We start from the raw sequence: 24034 nt of genomic DNA, 5'->3' as shown, positions 1-24034 counted from the left end.
GATGGGAGGTTGGCACAAGATACAGGTTATAAAGACCTTGCTGATAAAACAAGTTGCAGTCAAGAAGCTGGCCAAAACCCACCAAAACGAAGATGGTGATCTGACCTCTGGTTGTCCTAACTGCTACACTCCCAACAGCACCATGACAATTTACAAACGCCATGGCAATGTCCAGAATTTACCCTATATGGTCTAAAAAGAGGAGGCATGAATAATCCACCCCTTGTTTAACATGTTGAAACAGGAGAGTTCCCTGACCCCCAACTTGCAGGACGTGCAACAGGGGTGTGGTTTGTCTGTTTGGCCACCATGAGCTCAAACCCCTTACGGGAGGAAGAGCATGCACATAGGCAGGTGCAAGAGCTGGAGAAAGTGCTTTTGGGCTCCAGCCCCATGGTAGGATCTAAGGGTGGGTGTCTGCGACTCCCAAAGCCCCAGTGTGCATGTTACACTGCCTCTTAGCTCTGCTGTCCACAGATGGCTTAAGTGTTAATCAGCTCAGTGACCTCCTGGTATCCGGGTCCTTGTCCGGTGTCCAGGAAGAATCAGGTCACACACAGACTTGAAGGATGGTGAATGCGGGGGTTTTACTGAGTGGTGGAGGTGGCTGTCAGTGGGATGGATGGGGAGCTGGAAAGGGGATGGAGTGGAAAGATGATTTTCCCCTAGAGTTTGGCTGTCCCATGGCCTATCTCCTCTCTGACTGTCCCCAGCTGAACTCCTCTTGACATTTAGACATTCCTTCTCTTCTCTCCTTCTCTGCTGCACCACTCTTCTGCTCCTCTGATCTTCTGCTGTTGGAGCCTGAGGTTTAGGGTTTATTTGGGTATAGGATTGGGGGACATGGCAGGCCAAAAGGCAACATTAAGGTGTGAAAACAGGAATGCCTGTTCAAATTTAGGGCCATGGATTTCCAAGCTTGAGGGTGGTGTCTTTGCCAAGGAACCGCCCCCTTCTACCCAATATTTCCTTGCCTCCTGTTCGTACCAATATAATCAAGAAATAACCATAAAAATGGGCAACCAGTAGCCCTCGGGGCTTCCCTGCCTATGAAGTAGCCATTCTTTATCCTTTACTTTCTTAATAAACATGCTTTCACTTTACTTTATGGACTCACCCTTTCTTTCTTGTGCAAGATCCAAGAATCGTCTTTTGTGGTCTGGATCGGGACTGGTTTCCAGTAGCAATAACTGTTCAGAACGTGGATTAGTTTAATAAATAGCCTAAAAAATATAAAGTAACACAAAGTGAAAACTTCAAAACATTCAGCAATTGACTTACAAAGACTAAAAGCTAACTAAATATGAACTCAAGAACTTAGAAAAAGAACAAGAAGAATAATCAAAAAAAAAAAGTAGACAAAAGGCATAATAAAGAACAGAAGTCATTAAAATTGAAAATGAAGTGAAGTGAGCTGCCTGTATGGGAAGCTGCTGGAGGACAGATGGAACAACAGGAGCCAGCCAGATTTACCCTCCTGCAGGAAATGACACCAAGCAAACAAACAAAAGGTATGAAAAAAATGAATTTCAGACACTGGGCATCAGTAGCACAGAAGAGTGATTGCCAAGAGAGAGGAAACAAACAAAATGGAGGTGAGCTCCATTGTCCAGCTCAGAGCCTGGAGGGTTCCCAGGCCCCATTGTAGGGTCTCTCTGAGATGAGGAGGCAGAGCTGAGTCTAAGAAAAGCCTGGCGGTTTGAGTTTGCAAGTCAGAGAACCCAAGAGAAAAAGTTGCACAAAGAACTCTAGAAACTTGCAGAGGGCTCCCCTGAAGTCTTTGGCTGAGGTCTAATCAGCACATAGATGTGAGAAAGCTAGCCACGTATTTCAAAACTTCTTTAATATCATAACGATCAATGAAAAACTCTTGATCTTATTCTGGGTCTTAATTTTCTCTTTTACAATACAAGGCATACAGAGTGATTTTAGTTGTCATTTAGCAATAAAATGCTACCTTTCTACAACCTAGCCCTTTCATTGGATCCTTTTTTGTCCTTTTAGGGAATATACATGAATATTTTTTGCTCCTGACTCAGGTAAAAAAAAGATACTCAGGCTGTTGTAAGATGGCTTTCATTGTAATGCTGCAGCTCTTCCATCTTCCATGAGTAATTCTGGATAACATCAAACCTTCTAATCATGAGAGAAAAGTGAGGCTTGGCAGAGCATTAGCAAAGTTTTCTTCCTTCTGGAATCAAAAGAATTTAAAGTCAAGAGCAAAGAGTACAAAGAAAAGGGAAAGTAAATGTAGATACCATTTTCAATGACTTAACTTTTCTTTCAGCCTACTTTTTACTTGGAGCAATAAGCCCTGAGTTCTCAGTCAGACTTCCTTCTAACTATTTTCTAGAAATATAAGAAGGTTCAGGGAAAAGAGGGAAATTTGAGATGATAAAATACTAACTCATTTGTCTTTAATTATTTTATGACTGTCATTAGTGACAAATGTGAGAATCTCAGGTTTACATAGGCATATGGATAAACCACAAATCGGTCTTACTGAATTTTCCTGACTGATTTTCAGCCTGTTCTAGAAGTGACTATCAAAAACAAAGCTGTACATGTAGATACAATATTTTACAGACTAACACTTTAAAATTGCTATGAACATAGAGGACAAAAAAATATTTTGAAGGGACTTGTAAAGCAATTTGACTTTGAAAATGTTCTATAATATTTTTATGTTTTTAGTATCACCCGCAAGTCAAAGAATGTTAAATGAAACAAGAAAGCCAGTGGAATTTCCACCTTCTGACCATGCTGATATTGCTGTCTATATCCAAGTGTTCTTGGGTCAGTGTTGAAAAAAAAAAAACAGGATTGCCTTTAAAGAATACATAGAGTCAACTCTGCTTTAGAGAGGTAATCTTTAAGTAGACAGTCCTGTGACATCTTTTCAGCATGAATGGGGCAGTAGAAGGGGAGACACATGGATTGCGAGAACTGAAGAGGTTGTTTAGCTCAGCTCAGGATCTGTGAGGAGGGAGTAAGAAGTTATTCTCTCCTGGGTGTTGGGTGGTAGGAGTTGGCACTTTTGGAGATCTCCCCATTGTCACTACTCAAGCTTGCGCCAGCTCTCATCAGAGATACCGGCCCACTCCTCGAGGCAGGCTTTACCTGAATCTCTTCATGCTAGGAGCCCATCGTTAGCAATGAAAACCTCTCCCACAGCTGAGTTGCCATTGAAACATGTGTTTTCTACATAGCAGGCCAATGTTTATAGACCCTTATGGATTTAACCCCATCTGACAATGTAAGAGGTCACTAAACAAAACTTGGTTTCATTTCCAAAGCCACTTATCTCACCTACTTTGCCCACCTCTGTTCCACACACCCCATCCCACCCCAATTCAAAGAAAGCTTCACCATTCCCTATTTATTCATACACCTGGTTTCTTCTTTGGCTTAGTGTTTCCCTGCTGCACCTTCCTTACCTTGTTTAACTACACTGGACCACTGTTTACACTATATTTTTAATTGCCTGTTTCATTTGTCAGTCGCCTCACCTTAACAGTTTCAAACACAGGGACTAACTCCTCCTGCTCACCATGGTGTTCATTGCACCTCGCATAGTAACTGACATACAGTGGGCATTTATAAACACTCACTGTGTGACTGAATGAATAAGTAAATTAACTAATTAGCTAATTAATACTCTAGTAAGATCTTATGAAAGATTTACATCAGTTCCTAAAGCAAAGCTTGCAATTACATGATAAAAATGACATTATTGTTGTTATTACTATTATTACTACTACCATGATAAGCACAACTGGAAAAGCAATATATGAGCATAGACATTACTCATATAGATAATCCACATGAAAAATCCAAAGAAGTTCAAAATTATCTTCCTCAGAAATATTTTCCCCAGATATCTACTTGCTTTCCCCCAGATTTCATGAGGTTCCTCCCTCATGTCCTTCACATTTACTCCCAAAATGTTTTCAGAGAGGCTCCCTTGATAATCCTTTAAAAAAGCAATCTCACCTCCTGCCTCCCAGACACACACACACACACACACACACACACACACACACACACACCCCTGTAATGAACACAGTGCTACTGGCTGGAAGCTCACTACTGTCAGCCCTCTCTGGGAATTGCCCTCAGCAGAGGAAAGTCATGTCACCAAGGTCACAGTCCCCTTCCCAAGGGACAACTTGCATCCAATTTCTGGCCATTGCAGGAATATAAAGGCCTGGCCTCCATACCCCAAGTCAAGGCAATCAGAAGGCCCATCCCTGCTTTCCAGTTCCCCATGGAGTTGGCAGAGGCCCAACTGTGCCTGCTTCGGAGCCCATCTTCTCTCTCTACCCAACCCTGCTTCCTTCCTCAGAAGACTCTGAATGAACTTCCTGCACTTCAATCTCCATCTCAGATTCTGCTGCCTGCACATCTGACCTACAGAATTTTCCTTTATTCTGCTTTATTTTTTCTCCATAGCACTTACTACATTTATTGCTCTATCACATATTCACATATCACATATTCATTACTGACCTATTACATATTCATTTTCTACTGTATTATTGGCCCTCTCCCTCCTCCCGTTGGATTGTAAGCTCCGGTGGGGCAGGAATTTTGTTTTACTTGCTGCTGTAACCACAGGCCTTTGAACACTGAAAGCACTATATAGGTTTTCATGACAAATATCAAATAAATGAAAGTTGTGACTTGCAATCTTATAGCCTGTTTACATTGCTGTTCCTGAACCCCAGGTTTTACTGTCTGCCCAAAATCCAAAGTACCTACATTGGTATCCATTAATTAAGATCAGACCAGAAATTAAGAATATTTAAAGAGATTTGCGCTAGCATAATTAGGACTACAGTAGCAAGAGTTAACATTTTCAGGGGAACAACTTCTGTCATTTTTCTTTAATTTATATAACTTCGATTATAATAGTCATCTTCAGAATAATGATGGCTAGCATTAGCATAGAGTGCTCTGGGTCACAAACCTTTGCACATATTATTTCATTTAGTTTGATGCTGATGAAACCATGTAAAGGACGCAGAATTGTTATGCTAGTTTCACTAATGAGGAGACTAAAGCTCTGAGAGCTTAAATGACTTTTTCAATGACACACCTGGTAAATGAGTTCCATCCAGGTCTACTGACTCCAAATCCACTGTTCTATCTCTCAGTACATCACCCTAATAATTCCCTGGAGAGGGACTCAACAAAACTAAAGCTCTTCTACAATACTGATCAGAAAAGCAAAATGGGGGCCCCTCAGCAACCCAACTAAAAGACATCCTGTATGTAGCTTATTTAAATTTATTCCAAATAATATATTTACTTATGCAACATTCATGAGAATTCTGAGTTGTTTTGGTTTCATTTGTGGGTTTTTTTGCATATATATTTGCAACTGAGAATGAATACCATAGATCTTCTGGATAAAGGACACTTCTTACCTGTTACTTATATAATATCTCTGAACATTCATCAACTCTTTGCTATTCTGTTAAAGATGTATATTTACTCACCTATAAAAATAGAGTTATTTTTGATTTTGTCAATGACTTTTATTCTCTTTTATATATTTCAAAGGTAAAAATATTATAAATTCATATAAACAAAAACAAAGAAAATTACATATAGCATTCTCACAGAGACATCACATTATCACATTGTATTTATATGTATTCTTCCAACACTCTCTCTCTTTCTCTCAGTATAATACATATTGTTTCATAGATTTATTTTTTTGAATTATTTTATGTTCTGATGGTATATAAATGCTATCTTGTCATTTGAACATCTAGAAATCAATTAGAATTTTTAAAAAATTTTAAGTAAGTCCTCATCAACAATATAATTACATTGTACATACACAGTGTGATTGTCCTCAGCAAATAAATAAATAAAAACCTAAGGCTTACACATTAAACATAAAAATAAAGGAAAATATATGTTTACTCCTTTTGCATACCTGATTTCTGTTTACTAGGGCCCAAGAGAAGGTCCAAAACGTTCACGTCTTGTGATGGCCTGTCTTAGTCTTACTGGGCTGCCATAATAAACAGATACCACAGACCTGTGTGGGTTAAACAACAGAAATTTATGTCTTCACAGTTTTAGAGGCTGGAAAGTCCAAGATCAAAGTCCAGCAGGGTTTGGTTCTGGTGAGGACTCTCTTCCTGGCTTGTAGACAGCCATCTTCTCGCTGTGTCCTTGCATGGTAGAAAGAGAGGGGGTGAGCTCTCTGGCGTCTATTCTTATAACTACATTATCCTGTTGGATCAGGACTCTACCCTTATCGCCTCATTCAACTTCAATTACTTCCTTAGAGGCTGCATCTCCAAATACAGCCACATCATGGGGTAGGGCTTCAATATATACATTTTGGGGGGAACCACAGACACTTAGTCCACAACAAGGCCCAAGCCTAAAAATAAGAATAGGTCTAAATAATATGCTCTCAAGGAAGGATCTTGGGGACAACCGAATGTACAGAGTTTAGTACCCCAAATCCATGCTAGGCAAGGCATGCTACTATCCAGATAGCAGCTAAGGTGTGACACAGGTCCACACAGTATAGTCAACTTAGCTGCTACTAGTATTATTGCTATTAGTGAGTCACTTTATTGCTTAAGTCTCAAATTTCTTATCTGAAAAATAGGAATAATATGTTCCTCAAAGGACTAGTGTGAAGATTAAATGAAGTTATGAGTGCCAACTCTAGAGCTTACACATAAGCCTAATAAATGTTAGTAGAAATGAAGAATGACAAGCTGTTCCAGATCGCCCCAAAGGATATCCAGCTGTTTCCAGATTTGCTAAGTCCTAAAGGTATGCTCCCAGAGTTCTAACCCAGTAGCAAGGAAAGATCTGGATTTACTCAATAAACCATGAGCATATATTGAATGCACACTTCCTCTCTGCCCAGGCTCTGCACCAGGTAATATACTTTCTTAGGTAGGAATTATCAGATTTAAAGTGTTAATTATAGTTAACATATAATTAGACAAGCACACTAGAGGGAAGTGTCTATTGGTAATGGTTAGTCTTTTAGGGCATTAGAGCAGCAGGTCAGGGTTCTAAGAAGTGAATCACTCTCTTTGATAATTATCAAACCTAACAACGACCATACCTTCTAAGCACATCTCAGTACTAAAGTTCATTGACTGTCAGACTTTTCTCACTGATTGCTCAGACAAAAGGAAGAGGAGCTTTGAAAGCTGTGATGGGACTTGAGACACTCCTTTATATGCTACCAGCATATAAACAAAAACATCACAAAAAATCTTGGCTTTCCACTGACCATCATCCCAGGTAACAGACCCTAAGCTAGGTTCACCACCTAGGCTATATCATTCAAATAACATAACTCAGTGAGGCTGGCACTTTCATTATCCCCATTCTTAAGATAACAAATAATAAAATAAAATAAAATAAAATAAAATAAAATAAAATAAAATAAAATAAAATAAAATAAAATAAAATAAAAAAAGATGTGGCTTTAAAAGTAACCTGGCCAGGTGAAAAGCCAAGAGCTGAGAAAAGTTCCAAACACAAATTTTTCTAACTCAAAAGCCCATGCATGAGTTTACAACATGTCCAGGAGGGGCAACCTGAAATTAAGAAAGGCTGGTAATTTAGAATTCTGAATTGCAGGCAAAGGCCTCCTCTTTCATGTAACTTTCAGTAAAGACTGAGAGCTAGGATATAATGGACTATTCCAACTTGGTATCAGAGCTCTCAAAGGAAATGACATAAAACAGCTATTAGAAGGCAAAATGTAAAAGAAAATAGGAAGAATTGACTTTTCAGAGCTATTTATTTTCACTCAGAGATGGAGTTGATATTAAACCCTTATTTATACTGGGTATGCAATCATACACATTGTTGAGATCTGGGTCTGATTACACCTATGGCACTATGCAGTGTATTTCAGTGTAAACAGAGTAAGTCTGAGTTTGATTTAGAGAAAAACAAAAAATACGCTAAAAAAATAAAAACTACATGTGAGGGGGAAATACTTCTCTTTTGGCCCCTTTGCTCCTGATCGGTGAGCATTTTTGCATTTTTCAAAGACATCAAAGGGTTGCTACAAGGCTTACCTTGCTCACAGGACTTTGGATGTATCTTCTAGTGCTGCTGAGATGTGTCATGACAAGGCACATCCACCGTGGTGTGGTGTGTCAAACTTGAATCACTGGACTTGAGAAAAGAAGGCAGAGTTTGTGTTCTATGCTGAAGATAGCCCATGTATTTCTCTCAGGGAGGAAAAAGTTTTCGAGGTTAAAAAAATTGAGAAAATGGGTAAAGAAAAAAATAGGCTTTTAAAAAATATATAAACATCTGTAAAAATCCTATCTTAAAATATCAGTAATACAAGTAAATTAATGTACTAGTAGCAAGATTACCAATCTAATGCAAAGTCTATTCATTGCTCATTCATGTGCTTATTCTTTTCCACAAAGTTTTTACAAGGTGGAATGACATGAAGAATTTGCTTGGAAAAATAGATGATCTAACTTTATAAGCATTTCTCAAGTATTCCTCTGCTGCCAGAATTTATAATGAATCTGCTTACTACCCTGGCCTCAGCCAAATTAATTAATAATTTCCTTTCTCCTTCCCATGAGTCTCACAGATTACTACACCTTTTTTACCCAAGAAGTCCTATCCTATTGTATCCTATTATATCTGCCTGAAGGAACTAGATTCAGCTCCATCAAACGTATACCTTTCAAGAAAATAATCTTAAAAGTGAATTGTTTTAAAGATAAAAATGTATGCATTTTCTTTTTCTTCTGATCTTCTACCTTATGGTATTCGGGTCCATTATAATATAGGTTTTAGGGTAATGAGTACATTACACCAATAGATTTGCTCACATATTTAAAGAAAAAGCATAGCCTAAACATGTATAATATTAAAAGAAACAAAGTAAAGACAGGCTATAAAAGTAAACAGGTCAGAGTAAATTTTATGCATAACTACAGAAGCCACCAGCAGAGGATGCATTCAAAGCCCTATCCTTGCTTGTCTCTGGTAACTGCTTCCCAGTCATGTCTTATCACTACCTTGTACTCGGTGTAGCACAGCAAAGCAGCATTTATCACTGACACAAGTGTATTACAGGGCATCTAGAAAAAGGGACATGGAATTAGCTCTTTCTTCAGCAGTCATAGGTCTGAGTCTCTCTGCCTACCACTTTTCATCTACTTTACTGAAATTCAGTTTTCTGAGCAATTAAATTCTGGCTGAGAGAAATGTTTCTGCAATCCTTTTCAATATACTCACTTTCCAATGTAATCCCAAGCTCTGACTGACTGGGTTCCACATCGTAAACCTAATTCCTTAAGATTTATAGTGTCTTAAACTTTCTTTAATTAGACTTTCAAGTTGTAAAGGACTGAGATAATTACATTTGGAATGTTTATACCTCTCATCATAACTATGCGCAAAGAGATACTCTGTTATCAAAAAATGGCTAGATTAACGCCCAGTAGCTGTCAACTCATCTTTTGGGGGGTGGGGCAGCAATGCACCATAGTAGTTAATTTTGAGTGGCAAGCTAATTTATTTCTTCTGAATGATTTACCAGGATAACAGTAAAAATAAAAAGGCTATACAAGTGCCAAGTAATTAAGCATGTTAATGGAATTACATCAGGCTGCCGTGTGGGGTCTAGGCTTCAGCACAAGAATAGAAAATTGATTTATATTATCTAGGTGATCATATCTTTACACATCTTCTGCTAACAATTTATAATACTTCAGTCTGCTTTTTTTCCTAAGATTACGCCAGCTAGAAGGCATTTCCTTTAACTTCTATATTTGTAGTCCGTAAATGTACAGAAACTTTCTTGTCTTTCAGAGTTACATAGATAATATAAAGTATTAACTTTTCTCTACCCTGAACAAGTACTTATGTATTTGATTGATAAGTGTTTAAATTGAAAATCAGGCAATCAAGTTTTATTATCTGCCAATATTCTAAACAGAAGTTATAAAATATATTATTATGGGGATAAAAAATAGAATAGGGTCCCAGTTTATAAAAGAACAGTGATTTACTATATCTCTGTTTATATATATTTTGAAGAAGAGTGATTTACTATATTACTGTTCATATTTACTATATCACTGTTCCACATATATATATGTATGTGTATATATATATATATATATATATATATATATATATATATATATATATATATATACACATATCTCCTTCATGCCCTTTAGGACATTAGTACATTTGTGAGTAGAAGCTTGGAAACAGAAATGAGTTATTTAAGGTAATCAGTTCTCTAGAACATGGATCTCTTAAAAAGGCAATAATATCTTGGTGTCCAAGTGGCCCCAATTTAAAAATAATAGTTACTTATATGTTTTGTATTCGAATGGGTCTGCTACTCTCCCATTCTCCCACCTACCTTATCCCACAAAAGAATAGTCCATAGAGAGGTATTATGTATATGTGGGATATTTTTTCTCTTTTAATTTTTATCTTGTCTTCTAAATAAAAGGCATAAAGATTTATGTAAAATGGTAAGTGTAAACAGAATATAAAGTCTGCTCAACTGTAAGTATCAGAAGCTTCAGGATATTATTTTTCTAATTTTGAAGTTCAGAAATGTAGCAACAAAACCTCACTTGCAAGAACAGATGATCAAGTTTCAACAGATCATAGATCAGATCAAGTGAGAAAAACAAGATGACAACGATATCTCTATTTCCTATTCTAGAGAAATAAAGCTGAGATTTGGTCCTTAAAATCATGAAACTAAATTACAAAAATCCATCTTCTCCTTTCTTCTGGTTTATTTCTCACAGGAGGAAAAAAAAAAGCCCTCATGTGGGAGGAATTTCTAGTGCAGGATCTGGAACCCTAGCAAGTTCTGATAGTTTCATGTGACATGATAGCATGTCACATCGTCAGGCACTCAGTGTGTTCTCGGCTTATTCACTTAGAAACCGGAATCTGTACCAATCAAGATGTATTTCCAGCTAACCTAGGGGTCATCTTGAGTCGTTGACTGCCTGCAGCAAGAATGACAAAGCCATTTTCTAGTATTTTACAATTATAATGTTAGACAACGTCATTTTTAAGGCAAGAACTAAATTGGAAAACTTAGCAATACACTAGAAAAAGAATGAGTTAAGAAAAAACAGAAATATGCCCTATTAGGGTTAAGAAAACTGGCTCATATTATCCTGAACAAGATAAAGCTAATGGAAAAGTGTAAATTAGTCCAGTTAACCCTATGCTCTAGGCAAAAACAAAACAAAAACCTCTGTAAAGAGAAAACTCAGAATATATTTCTCAATATCCATTTGGCTCATAATGAATTTTTTCTCTTTTTATAGTAAACCAAGGAATTGTTCTAACTCAGTGAAAACTCAAAAAATAAGCTAAGAGAACAATCACACATACAAAATATTTGAATGTTAAATACATGGAGAAGATGTTTGACTTCATTTAAAGTGAGTCAAAACCTTCTTGAGAGGCAGATAACAATATGTCTTAAGACCCACTAGACTCAGTAATTCCAGTTTTGAAATTTAAGAATGTGCCCCAAGATTTAGCAAAAATTAGACGCTACCACAGTGTCCAAATAAATAAATAAATAAATAGGAACTTATTGAGTTCTGAAATATCCATAAAATGAAACACTCTGAAACATTAAAAAATGATGTGAGAGAAGTTTATTTATTGTAAAAGAAAGATATTCAAGATTAAAGTAGAAATTTGACACAGCTATTTTATGTGTCATTTTTGGGTATGGCCATTTTTTCCCAGCTTAACTGAGGGAAAATTGAAACACAAAACTGTATTTAAGGTGTACAGCAAGGGTGTCCAATCTTTTGGCTTCCCTGGGCCACATAGGAAGAATTGTTTTGGATCACACATAAAATACACTAACACTACTGAGAGCTGATGAGCTTAAAACAAAAACTGCAAAATAATCTCATAATGTTTAAAGAAAGTTTACAAACTTTCTTTGAATGTGTTGAGCCACATTCAAAGCCTTCCTGGGCTTCATGCAGCTCATGGGCCGTGGGTTAGACAAGTTTTGTGTACAATGGGATGCTGTACCCCAGTACTGCCATTTCCCTAAGAGGAAGAGAATGAGTTATTTTTTGAATTTTTTTTCTTTTTTTCTCTTTCCTCCTCTGCCCGTGTTCTCCACTTCCTACTTAACTCTTTAGAAATGCAATTAGAACCTCTACCTTGCCTTCACCAGACACTCACTACAGAACAAGTTCACCTAACTGTGTGCATACCTAGAAGCCCCAGAGCCGGAAATCTCTCCCACCAGAAGATTGCCTCTAGAGACAAGAGTCAATTTACAACCTAAAGTTTGCCCACAGGAAACTCTCTCCCATCTGGAGAGTATCTCCAGACCACAGCCACCTTACAATCTAGCACTAGCTCAACCACTGGGTAGATAAGGCAACAAAGCAAGTCGCCTAGACCCCCAACTGCTCCTTCCCTGCCTGCCATTCACGCCAAGTTCCCCTTTAAAAGCTCTGGCTTTCTGCCCCAAAAGTGAAGCAGTGCCTTTAAAGGCAAGAGCCTGGACTTCTTTCCACAAGCTAAGCTTTGGATTAAAAAGTCACTTTCTTTATATCAGACCTCACTCTTGTAAACTGGACTCGGCAAGCATCGAGTGACTGAATCTGCAATTGAGTTACAATGCTTTGATATATGTAAATATTCTGAAGTGATATCAAGTTAGTCAACACCTCCATCACTTCACATAGTTACCTGGGTGTGTAGTGAGAACTTTTAAGGCCTGCTCTTTTAGCAGATTTCAAGGATACAATACAGAGAGTTCTCTACTTAAAATTTTTCAATTTTAAGATTGTGTAAAAGTCAGTCAGTAGAAACTGCATTTTAAGTACTCATATAACCATTCTGTTTTTCACTTTCAGTACAGTATTCAATAAATTACATGAGATATTCAGCACTTTATTACTAAATAGGCTTTGTGTTAGGTGATTTTGCCCAAGTACACCAATATAAGCGTTCTGAGCTTATTTAAAGTAGGCTAGGCTAACCTATGATATTCTGTAGCCTAGGTGTATTAAATACATTTGTAAGTTACAACAAGCTTGTCAAAACCATGGCCCATGGGCAACATGCAGCCCAGTATGACTTTGAATGAGGTCCAACACAAATTTGTAAATTTTCTTAAAACATTATGAGATTTTTTTGTCATTTTTTTTTTTAGCTCATCAGCTTTCATTAGTGCTAGTGTATTTTATGTGTGACCCAAGACAATCCTTCCAGCATGGCTCAGGGAAGCCAAAAGATGGGACATCACTGAGTTACAATATTTTCAGCTTACGTTGAGTCTGTTGGAACATAACTCCATTGTAAGTCAAGGAACATCTGTACAGTATTATTAACTATTGTCATCATGCTGCATATTAGATTCCCAGAACTTACTCATCTTGTAAGTGAAAGTTTGTACTCTTTGAACAACATGATTTGGGTGATATTACATGGCCCTAAAGAAATAATTTTAATTTCATCTTTGTAAAAAATCAGTCATATATATGACCAAAATTTTACCTCATCCCTGGCATTCACCCCTCCAGCCTATAGAGTAAGCAAGGTGGTGGGCAGAAGTAAGTCCAGACAATACAGTAAGGGAGTCTGCAATATAAAGCTAGAATGACAAAGTACATGAGGTTTTAAATGCACACAGCATCAAAATAGGTGTGTGTATACTCATTCAATTTATTAAGAAAGAAAAAATCAAATAGCTAAAAAACATATTTCGCATTAAAACTGCAAATTTGTACAAATGGTGAAACCTTTATCTCTGCATACCAGTCACACAGAAATAAGAGAATGAAGCCAGTATCACCCTAATCCCCAAACCAGGAAAGGACATAACAAAAAAAGAAAACTACAGACCAATATCCCCAATGAACATACATGCAAAAATCCTCAACAAAGTATTTGCTAATCAAATACAGCAGCACATCAAAAAATACACCACGATCAAGCGGGTTTCACCCCAGGGATGCAGGGATGGTCTAATGTATGCAAATCAATAAATGTGATACACTACATAACCAGAATTAAAAACAAAACCATGTGATCATCTCAATAGATGTAGAAAAAGCATTCGATAAAATTTAGCATCGCTTTATGATAAAAACCTCAACAAACTAGGTATAGAAGGTACTTACCTCCAGTTAATAAAAGCTATATATGACAAACCCACAGGCAACATCATACTAAATGGGGAAAAGTTGAAAGCGTTTCCCCTGAGAACTGAAACAAGACCAGGAAGCCCACTTTCACCCCTTCTATTCAACACAGGACTGGAAGTTCTGGCCAGAGCCATCAGTCCAGAGAAATAAATAAGGGGCATCCAAATCAGAAAAGAAGAATTACAACCTCTATGGAAAACAGTACGGAGATTTCTTAAAAACTAAAAGTAGATCTATCCTTCAATCCAGCAATTCTACTACTGGGCATCTACCCAAAGGAAAAGATACCACCTTACTCTTTGCAAGAATTGCCATAATTAAAAAGCCAGAAAACAATAGATGTTGACCTGGATCTGGTGAAAGTGGAATGTTTATACACTGCTGGTGGGAATGTAAATTAGTACAACAGAAAACAATAGATGTTGACCTGGATCTGGTGAAAGTGGAATGTTTATACACTGCTGGTGGGAATGTAAATTAGTACAACATCTATGGAAAACGGTATGGAGATTCCTTAAAGAACTGAAAGTAGATCTAACCATTTGATCCAGAAATCCCACTACTGGGTATCTTCCCAAAGGAAAAGAAATCATGATATGAAAAAGACACATGAACACATATGTCTATTGCAACCCAATTCACAATTGCAAAGATATAGAACCAATCTAAGTGTCCATCAATCAATGAGTGGATAAAGAAAATGTAGTATATACACACCATGGAATACTACTCAGCCGTAAAAGGAATGAAATAATGCCTTCTGCAGTAACTTGGATGGAGCTGGAGGCCATTATTCTAGGTGAAGTAACTCATGAATGAAAAACCAAACACTGTATGTTCTCACTTATAAGTGGAAGCAAAGCTATAAGTACACAAAGGCAAATAGAGTGATATAATGGACTTTGGAGACTCAGAAGGGGGAGGGTGGAAGAGGGGGGAGGGTAGAAGAGGGGTGAGGGACAAAAAACTACATATTGGGTACAATGTACACAACTCGGGTGAGGAGTGCACTAAAATTTCAGAATTCGCCACTATGTATTTCATCCATGTAACCAAAAACCACTTGTACCCCAAAAGCTATCGAAATAAGAAAAAAATAAAAACAAAAAAATACAAAATGTATTAATAAGCGCATAATTCTCTAACACAAAAGAGTGAAAGTTCTGTACACCACTAGCAGAGGTGTCCTAAAAGAAACAGGCAACTAGGATATATAGCAGTATTTGGGTGTGTGAGAGTCAAAATATCCTCATCCATAAAAGAACACAATGAATTTGAAACAAGTTACATAACTGGTTTTATATGAAGTTCTAAGTTGTCATATATAACATATGTTACATGATTATACATATAATACTAAATTGTCAATATAAATTACCAGAATTGGCCCAAGAAAAAGTGGACAAAAATGAAAAGCCTAATTATGAAAAAAGAAATTGTTAAAGGCTAACTACCAAAACTTTATAACAAACATCATACTTAACAGATAAACTGTAGACATATTTTTAAGACTAAGAAAAAATAATATTAGCTATGACATACGTACAATTCCTACTTAGAAGGATAAAGTCAAGACAAAGAAATAAAAATTTTAAATTATTAATATTATTTTTGATTGACAAATTGCAATTATATACATTTATGGGATACAATGTGATGTTTTGCTACATGAATACAATGTGGAATGATTAAACCAAACTAACATATTCAACCCCTTGATTACCCATTATTTTTTATGGTGAGATATTTCAAATTTGTTCTTAGTTATTTTGAGACATAAATACATTATTATTGGCTATAGTCACCCTGCTATTCAATAGATCTCAAAAACCTGTTCTTCCTCTTTATGTGAAACTTTGTACCCTTTGATCAACAGCTCCCCATTCCCTCCCTCCCCCACACCCTACCCTCTGGAGACAACCATCCTACCTCCTACTTGAAGTAAAACATACATATGAAGTATTCCATTAAAATAAGAAATACACAAAACTGCAGCAAAATCAAAGGCAACTTCTATTAGCATTTAATTGGGGCCTTCAAGTAAGGTATAAAGTGTCAGATAGGTTGCTAACTAGTGAGCATTATGAGTACAGCACCTGAGCACCCAACATATTTTTAGGACATGTTCTAATTTGTATAAGACAAGAATATTTTATTTTTAAAACTACAGTAGGAGAGAGCTTGAGAGCCCATCTTTTTGGCAATGTCAATATGATGCCTCTACTTCTGATCAGAGGCCATCTATTCTGAAAAACACCATCTGTCTTCTTCCTACTCGTCTTGTCCCCCAGCCTGACCTTTCCAAGCTGCCTCATCTTCCCATCCCCTCCCTTAAGCACCCAATTTCAGGTGAAGTAAGAAAGGAAATATTTTGTTAGAGAGTTAGTGATAAGAAAGCAATTATTTTTCTGCCCCTCTTCCTATCATATAATATAAAATTATATATAGGTATCTAATATATATTCTAAAAAGCATTTCACAAAGCAACAGAACATCAAACCACAGAATTTTATAAAGCAAGGTCGTTTTCTGTTTTCAAAACTATGTAGAGTGACATTTGCCAATTTGTGGAAGCCCCTCTCCACCTTGAGCCAGAGTCCTCTCCCCATTTCCACCTTTGCCTCTGCCAAAATTGAAGAGGGCACCTGAGACACTAGACAGATCTCAATCATCCTAAGTTCCACAAAGTCTTGTCCAAATCTAACATTGGTTTGCCCTTTCTAGAATTTGCTTTTTGGTTTTATTTGGAATAATATTGATTTATCACATGAATTATTGTCTCCTCTTTTCTCAAGTGAAGAAAAAGGGCCCTAATCATATTTTTACCTAAGTACTAGTTTAAGATGAAATGAAGAATCAATACACCAAGGATTTCTTAGCAGGGGTAAGCTTAGGGTAGGGAGCTTGTACAGAAATTAGAGAGTATGTAATCGCGTTTTGACACACGCTCATGAATCCAGAATCAATACATTGAAATAAAGCCAGATCATTAGTTTCCTTTGTAAACTTAGACTTAACTAAATGATTTGGATGAAATTCAATACACAGTTTTGGTTCTGAAAACACATGATGTAAACACTATTTCACTTAGCAACAGAACATCAAACCAGATAATTATACAAAGTAAAGCCTTTTCTTGTGTTCAGAAAGTCTTTGCATTAGTCTCAACATTTCCTACATTCCCACAAAGAAACGAAAATTTGGAAATGGCATAAAACTATTTAGTATTAATTGAAATCAAGCTCCATTTTGTGAGCACTTGAAAATTAAGTGTGTAGCTATTTGGGAAGATGAGTTGCATTTATGTTGATGTTTATGTTATGTAGACCACATGATGAGTTTTGACTAATGACCCAATATGTTGTTCCTTGTCAATTTACTTAACCTATTTACACCTTTTTCCTGGCCAAAACTTCTCATATATATAATAACTCCTGTTTACTCAACTGACTGTGGAGCCGACTTGATTATAGATTTGGCAGGCAACCAGCCCTTCTCGCCTTCCCTGAGATCACCTTATACTTCCTCCAATGAGAGTTGAAACAACTTCTTTCCTAGGAACTGGAAGTTAAAAGCATATCAGAATTACATAACTAGCAAGAAAATGTTTCACCATGTAAAGTCATACTTCCAGTTTACAGAACCCTCCCCCTTTGAGCCAGAATCCTCTCCTATTTTTACCTTCTCCCCCTTCCAGAATTGCAGAGGATATTTGAGATATAAGAAAGTGGCCATGACCCACAATGAGCACTCAGATCTACATGGGGACTCTGGCTAAGCCAGTCATCCAAGATCGTTCTAGTTATTATTATTCTTTTAGAATAGCTCTGACTTGATTAAATATATTTTATAATGCTTAAAAGAAAATTTGATGCCATTTTTGGAATGTTTCTGGGTAACTTGGTCACTGGCTATAATTTTATCATTGATTATAAGTAACTATAATTACTAGGAATTGGAGAACTGAATGATATATGGTAAAGCACTGGACTGGCAAATTTGGGTTCTCATACCATCCCTCCAAGATATTTGCTCGGTTTCCTTAGTTAATTATGTTAACCTCTCTGTACCTCAGTACACTCATTGGTAAATAAGGGACGATGTTAACTCTCCCACCTACTATATGGTTCTTGTGAGGGTCAAATGACAGACTCCAAAGTAATTTGAAATCCACAAAGCACTTTGCAAATTCAACAAGTTACTTTGTATACCCTTAGAGATATAACTTATCAAAAATTTTAAGCCAACAATAATTAAAGAAAAAACTTTGCTACTGAGAAGCAGCTACAAATTTCTAGTTTACCATCCTTACAGTTTATGATTTAAATATGTTTTTATATGTGGATTGGATATGTAAAAGGAAAAGTTGTTTCTACATCAATCATATCTTTCCTTGGGTTAAAAGCATCACAAACCATTTAAATAACTTCACATTTATCTTTGTCTCCTCTTTCTCCCACAGGCTCTATATCCAGCCAATCAAATCAGTGAGTTCTCTTGAGATGTCACTTCATCTGTCTCCCCTCCCTCACACCTACTGGTACTCTCCACATAGTCAGGCCTATTTTAGCTATAAGTGGCTTAGGGAGAAAAAAAATAATTTACTTACAAATTTTTAAATTTCAGAAGTAACTTATAGCTTCAGGCATGTTTGGATTTAGGAGTTTTAAACAATATTGTCCTGACTCTGTTGTCTCCATCAAAGGGTTCTGCTTCCCCGGCTTTCTCTCACAGGTCCTGCACGTACAAAGGCAAAAAAGGCCATTAGCAGCTCTGGCCTTAAATCTACCAGCTGAGAAACCTCAGTGGAAACAATATCACTTTCCCACTAACTTTTGTAGAAGTCCAGTGCTGACATTCTTTGGGCTGACTAGGGTCCCATATCTTTCCCGGACTCAAGCCCTCCGATAGGAGAGATGGAACATAGTCATGGGCCAGCCTGAGTAGCATGCCTGCCACACCTACCCACCCACCTCCCATTCTTAGACCCCAGAAACTGGGTTTATCCCACCGAAAAACACAAGGACTGACAGTGGCTTTCCACTTCTCAGAAGTGGCTTTCCAAATAATAATAATAAATAATATTAGGAAGAAGGAGAAATAGAGGCTGATCAAGCAAGGCATCTGTCCATTATACCCTCCTTCCTAGGTCCTCATAATCTACTATCTCCCTCCAGATTTAATAAAATTGACCTAAGAGTAAGTAGAAGAAACTACATGTACATGTAAGAGGTATGCAAGAGGGGGCTATTTAACCGATTAACAGTAAGAAAAGAAAAGTAAAATTTAAAAAGAAAAAAAACATTTGTTTGAAGGCATGGGAGAGCTTCCAAAGTGATAAGAATCTGAGGTGTCAAGATCCCAGAGAGAAGAGAAATGTAGAAAGGTGAGACAAATTCTGAATGTCACTTACCCTTAATGGCATTTGCCAATTCTAAATATAGGCTGGAATATTAATAATCCTCAGCCCCTGCTAAAAGGCAGATAATCTAAGAGAGCTCTTGATAATTCATAAGTCGAGGTGGACAAAAAATTATAGGTTGATGCTGTGAAGGCAGCCAGGATTTATGAGTACAAGCCTGGAGAGAAGAGAGGTGTGAAAAAGTAAGCATAATACTAAGGTCATTTTCCTATAAAAGCATTTTCTGAAGTAAGCTGATTAGAGTGAGAGGCTAGGAAGCCAAGCATACAGCCGTTGAAAATCAAATCAGAGTTTTTAAACATCTTTTAGTGCTGAGAAGACAAAACTGGAGGCCATGACTCACTAAGGGAGAGGAGCAACAGAGAACACTTCATACTCTCATTCGAGACCTTTAGGGGCTATAGCACTCCAGGAAACCAATCTTAAGAAGACTGAAACCCAGCATTTGGTCTTCTCATTTACTTGATTAAAGTGATTTGCCTCCACTATAGCTTCCAACCAGAGGACAGGGCAAACTCTCTCAGGAAAGCTATAACACAATCCACATCATCCCTGGTTTTTTATATTCAGTATCTGGCATTCAACAAAAATCTACCAGATATACAAAATATAGCAATAACACAACAAATAGGAACAACATAAAAAGATCGACAACGGGAAAAGACTCACAGATGATGCAGATATTGTCATTAGCAACACAGAATTAAAATAAGTGCTTAAAATATTTAGGAAATAGAGGGTAAGATGGGGAGTTTCATCAAAGGAATAGACTTAATAATCATATAGAAATTTGAGAACTGCAAAATAAAGTAACAAAAATTAAGAATTTGATATATGGATTTAATAGCAGTTTGGATGTAGCAGAATAAAGAGTTAATGGACTACAACACCAACTGGAAATCTAGGCAGATGTAAACAGATTTTAAAATATGTTTTGTGGCCAGGCACAGGGACTCACGTCTGTAATCCCAGCACTTTGGGAGGCTAAGGTAGGAGGATTGCTTGAGCCCGGGAGTTCAAGACAAGCCCAGGCGACAAAGCAAGACCCATTTCTTAACTAAATAATTAGCTGGGTGTGATGGGATGTACCTGTAGTCCCAGCTACTCAGAGGGCTGAGGTGGGAAGATCGCTTGAGCTCAGGAGTTCTAGATTGCAGTGAGCCGTGGTTGTGCCACTGCACTCCAGACTAGGCAACAGAGTAAGACCCTGTTTCTAAAACACAAAAAAATGGGGTTTTTAAAATTATAATTAAAAGTCAATAATATTCTTTCTTTATTGGTGGAAGAAAGGAAAAGTCCAAATGAGTTTTATTCAAACAAAAAAAAAATGGGACAAAAAAGAAAGATGATATGAGTGGAAGAAATATTCCTCTAAGCAAGGACCCATTACCTGGGTCCAGACTGGGGATGGAAAGGTTCCCTACATAACTGTGTTTTCTTTGCAGAATATATATTTTTCTGTATGTCGTATTCTTCTATAAGCTGGAAAACAAAAGTAAAATTGATACTTAGATCATACTAAAGCTAATAATTAGGAAAGCTTATGACAATTAAAGGATTCTGTTATGCTTTGAATGGTTGTCCCCTCCAAAACTCATGTTGAAACTTAATCTCCAATGTGGCAGTATTGAGAAATAGGGCCTTTAAGAAGTGATTGGGTCCTAACAGCTCTACCCTCATGAACGTATGAATCTATTAATGGATTAATGGGTTCTCATGGGAGTGAGACTTGTGGCTTTATAAGAAGAGAAAGAGAGACTTAAGCTACCACACTCAGCCACCTCACCATGTGATGCCCTGTACCACCTCAGGACTCTGCAGAGTCCCCACCAGCAAGAAGGCCCTCACCAGATATGGCCCCTCGACCTTGGGTTTCTCAGCCTTCATAACTGTAAGAAATAAATTCCTCTCCTTTATAAATTACCCAGTTTCAGGTATTCTGTTATAAGCTACAGAAAACCGAAAAAGACACACTCTTACTAATGAACCTAAACAGTATAAGCACTGAAAAGACCTTAGTGTTAAAACTCCTGAAAATTAGGAAGGGGATACATACTGAGAACTGGTTTTTATGCATAGTGTAAATATGCAACGTGAACTCAGAATCAGAAGAAAAATGAGAGTTCAATTGTGTAGTCTATTAATTTAGGTTCCCAGCAAACCATACGAAAAGATTTCAATGGCCGGGTGTGGTGGCTTACGCCTGTAATCCCAGCGCTTTGGGAGGCCGAGGTGAGCGAGATCACCTGAGGTCGGGAGTTCAAGACCAGCCTGACCAACATGGAGAAACCCCGTCTCTACTAAAAATACAAAATTAGCTGGGCATGGTGGCACATGCCTTTAATCTCAGCTACTTGGGAGGCTGAGACAGAAGAATTGCTTGAACTGGGGAGGTGGAGGTTGAGGTGAGCCGAGATGGTGCCATTGAACTCCAGCCTGGGCAACAAGAGTGAAACTCCATCTCAAAAAAAAAAAAAAGAAAAAGAAAAAAGAAAAGATTTCAAGTGTAAGCAATTTATTTTTACAGAATTAAGCATTAGGAGAGTACATAAGTGAAACTGGCCAAGGATAAAAGTTGTATTATGAAGCCAGCTACCATTGTGCACTGCCAGTGCCTAATACGTTAGAGCTCTGGAAAATTGTATAAAATATACGCCTACAAATTATTCAACTAGAGGGATAAGAAAGCTGGCATTTTCATAAACCAACTCCTATCATTTATTGTTTGAGGGTTGAATTGAATATGTCAAGTGGAGACAGGGCTAATTCCCTAGAACCTCCAGCCTGGAGTTTGCATGGGCAGACTGGTCCTTTATTTAGTAGAAGGAAACCCTTGGGAAGAGGATACAAATACTGCCAGTTGGAAGTCACTGTCTCCTTGGAGCATGCTGAAATAATGAAGTCCAAAGAATATGGGTGAGGTACTGTCCCATATTAAATACTGGTGAGATAATTTGGCAGGCTGATGGCAGCAATGGCCCAACTCTCAACTTCTTCCTGTATCTATGCCCTTTGCCATGTGACTTTGCATTTCCTCTCACTATAGAGGAGTGTACTTCTTTGCACTTTGATTCTGAGTTTGGCCATCTTACATGCTTTGGCCAACAGGACAAGAGCAGATGCATGCAGAGGCTTGAAAAAATCTTTCACACTAACAGTCTCTTAATCCTCTGACTTTGCTGTGACACATACCTGGACTAACCTACTAACCCTACTAAAGGTAAAACAGAACCAGGTTATCTCAATCATCCCAGATGAGTTATACTAGAGCAGCTAATATGCAACCCATCTCCATGCATGTGAGACCAGAAGAACCAAGTTGCTGGCCCACAGACTCATGCACTAAATAAATTTTTATTGTTTCAAGAGGCATTTTGTGTTGTTTATTATGCAGCATTATTATGGCAATGGGTAATTAGTACCTATAAGGAACGTGCTACCATAGCATAAAACAGACATATGTGGAATTAGCTTTGGATGAGGTAGGTAGCAAACAGAAGCTGGAAAAGTGTCAATGATACTACTAACAAAGCCTGGAAAAATGATGAGGCAACTGTTAGAGCAAATCGAAGAAATGATCACCCATGCTACGTCGGCATGAAACATCTGTTAGAACTGGTCACTTAAGATAACTTGAAGATATAAAATGTACCTTATGAATTTTTGGACTTGATCTCCAGGCAGAATGTTGAAAATATCAGCTGACTCTTACTAGTTGTATATAAAGTACTACAAGAAAGAAACAAATGTCGACAAAAACACACACACAGTTTACAAGGAGAATATGGGGAATTAAGAGATGCTAGAATTTATTAGAATAGAAACTAAAGTTGTTTTTCATCTTTGCTGTCTCATGCCAGATAAATATTTTCACATTAAGACTTGGCCTCAAGGTAAAGATAAAAATCAAGGGTGTGGTCATGAGACTTTGAAAGAATTAAGCCAGTGCCTAGAGATACTCTCAGCTGGAAAGAACTTTCAGAAAATTTGGAATATTGTTCTTCAATAGCCCAGTACCCAAAAGAGCAGTGGTTAAGTGTAAAAGCAGAACTGTAATCAGGCTAGGGAGGCTATTATACTATGGATCAGGATCAGGCACTCTCCTTCTCTCCCTGTTTCTCTTCTTCTCTCTTCCTCTTTCTTTCCCTTCCTCTACCTTTTCCTCCCTCTTCCTTTCCCTTCCTCTACCTTTTCCTCCCTCTTCCTTTCCCTTCCTCTACCTTTTCCTCCCTCTTCCTTTCCCCCTCAGTTTTCCTCCCTCTCAGGTTTATAAACATCCCCAAGGCACGGGCTAGAATCAGACTCAAGTTGGAATCAGAAATTTCACACCTCCTATCCACTTCCACTGCAACCTCTTAAAACCAAATCAAAGATGTATTGGTCGATCAGCTTTGTCATATTGTTAGTT

General features: G+C 37.5%; 1 long non-coding RNA gene across 1 annotated transcript in view; it reads right to left on the bottom strand.

Moving 5' to 3' along the window:
• LOC105377459 (uncharacterized) overlaps nucleotides 1-23793 on the bottom strand; it is a 125977-nt gene extending 102184 nt beyond the window's left edge. Inside the window, exons 1-9 of the long non-coding RNA XR_001741861.1 lie at nucleotides 23279-23793; nucleotides 21017-21108; nucleotides 19618-19783; nucleotides 18814-18941; nucleotides 17652-17765; nucleotides 8079-8178; nucleotides 5948-6052; nucleotides 2055-2191; nucleotides 1118-1223 (exon numbers count right to left, since the gene is read on the bottom strand). This is a non-coding gene — a long non-coding RNA (uncharacterized LOC105377459). The remainder of the gene's footprint in view (nucleotides 1-1117; nucleotides 1224-2054; nucleotides 2192-5947; nucleotides 6053-8078; nucleotides 8179-17651; nucleotides 17766-18813; nucleotides 18942-19617; nucleotides 19784-21016; nucleotides 21109-23278) is intronic.
• Between the last annotated feature and the right edge of the window lie 241 nt (nucleotides 23794-24034).

This window comes from Homo sapiens, chromosome 4 (genome assembly GCF_000001405.40).
Source record: "Homo sapiens chromosome 4, GRCh38.p14 Primary Assembly".
NCBI lineage: Eukaryota > Metazoa > Chordata > Mammalia > Primates > Hominidae > Homo > Homo sapiens.
The sequence above is the reverse complement of the archived record's forward strand: the minus strand, read 5'-3'. Positions and strand labels throughout refer to the sequence as shown.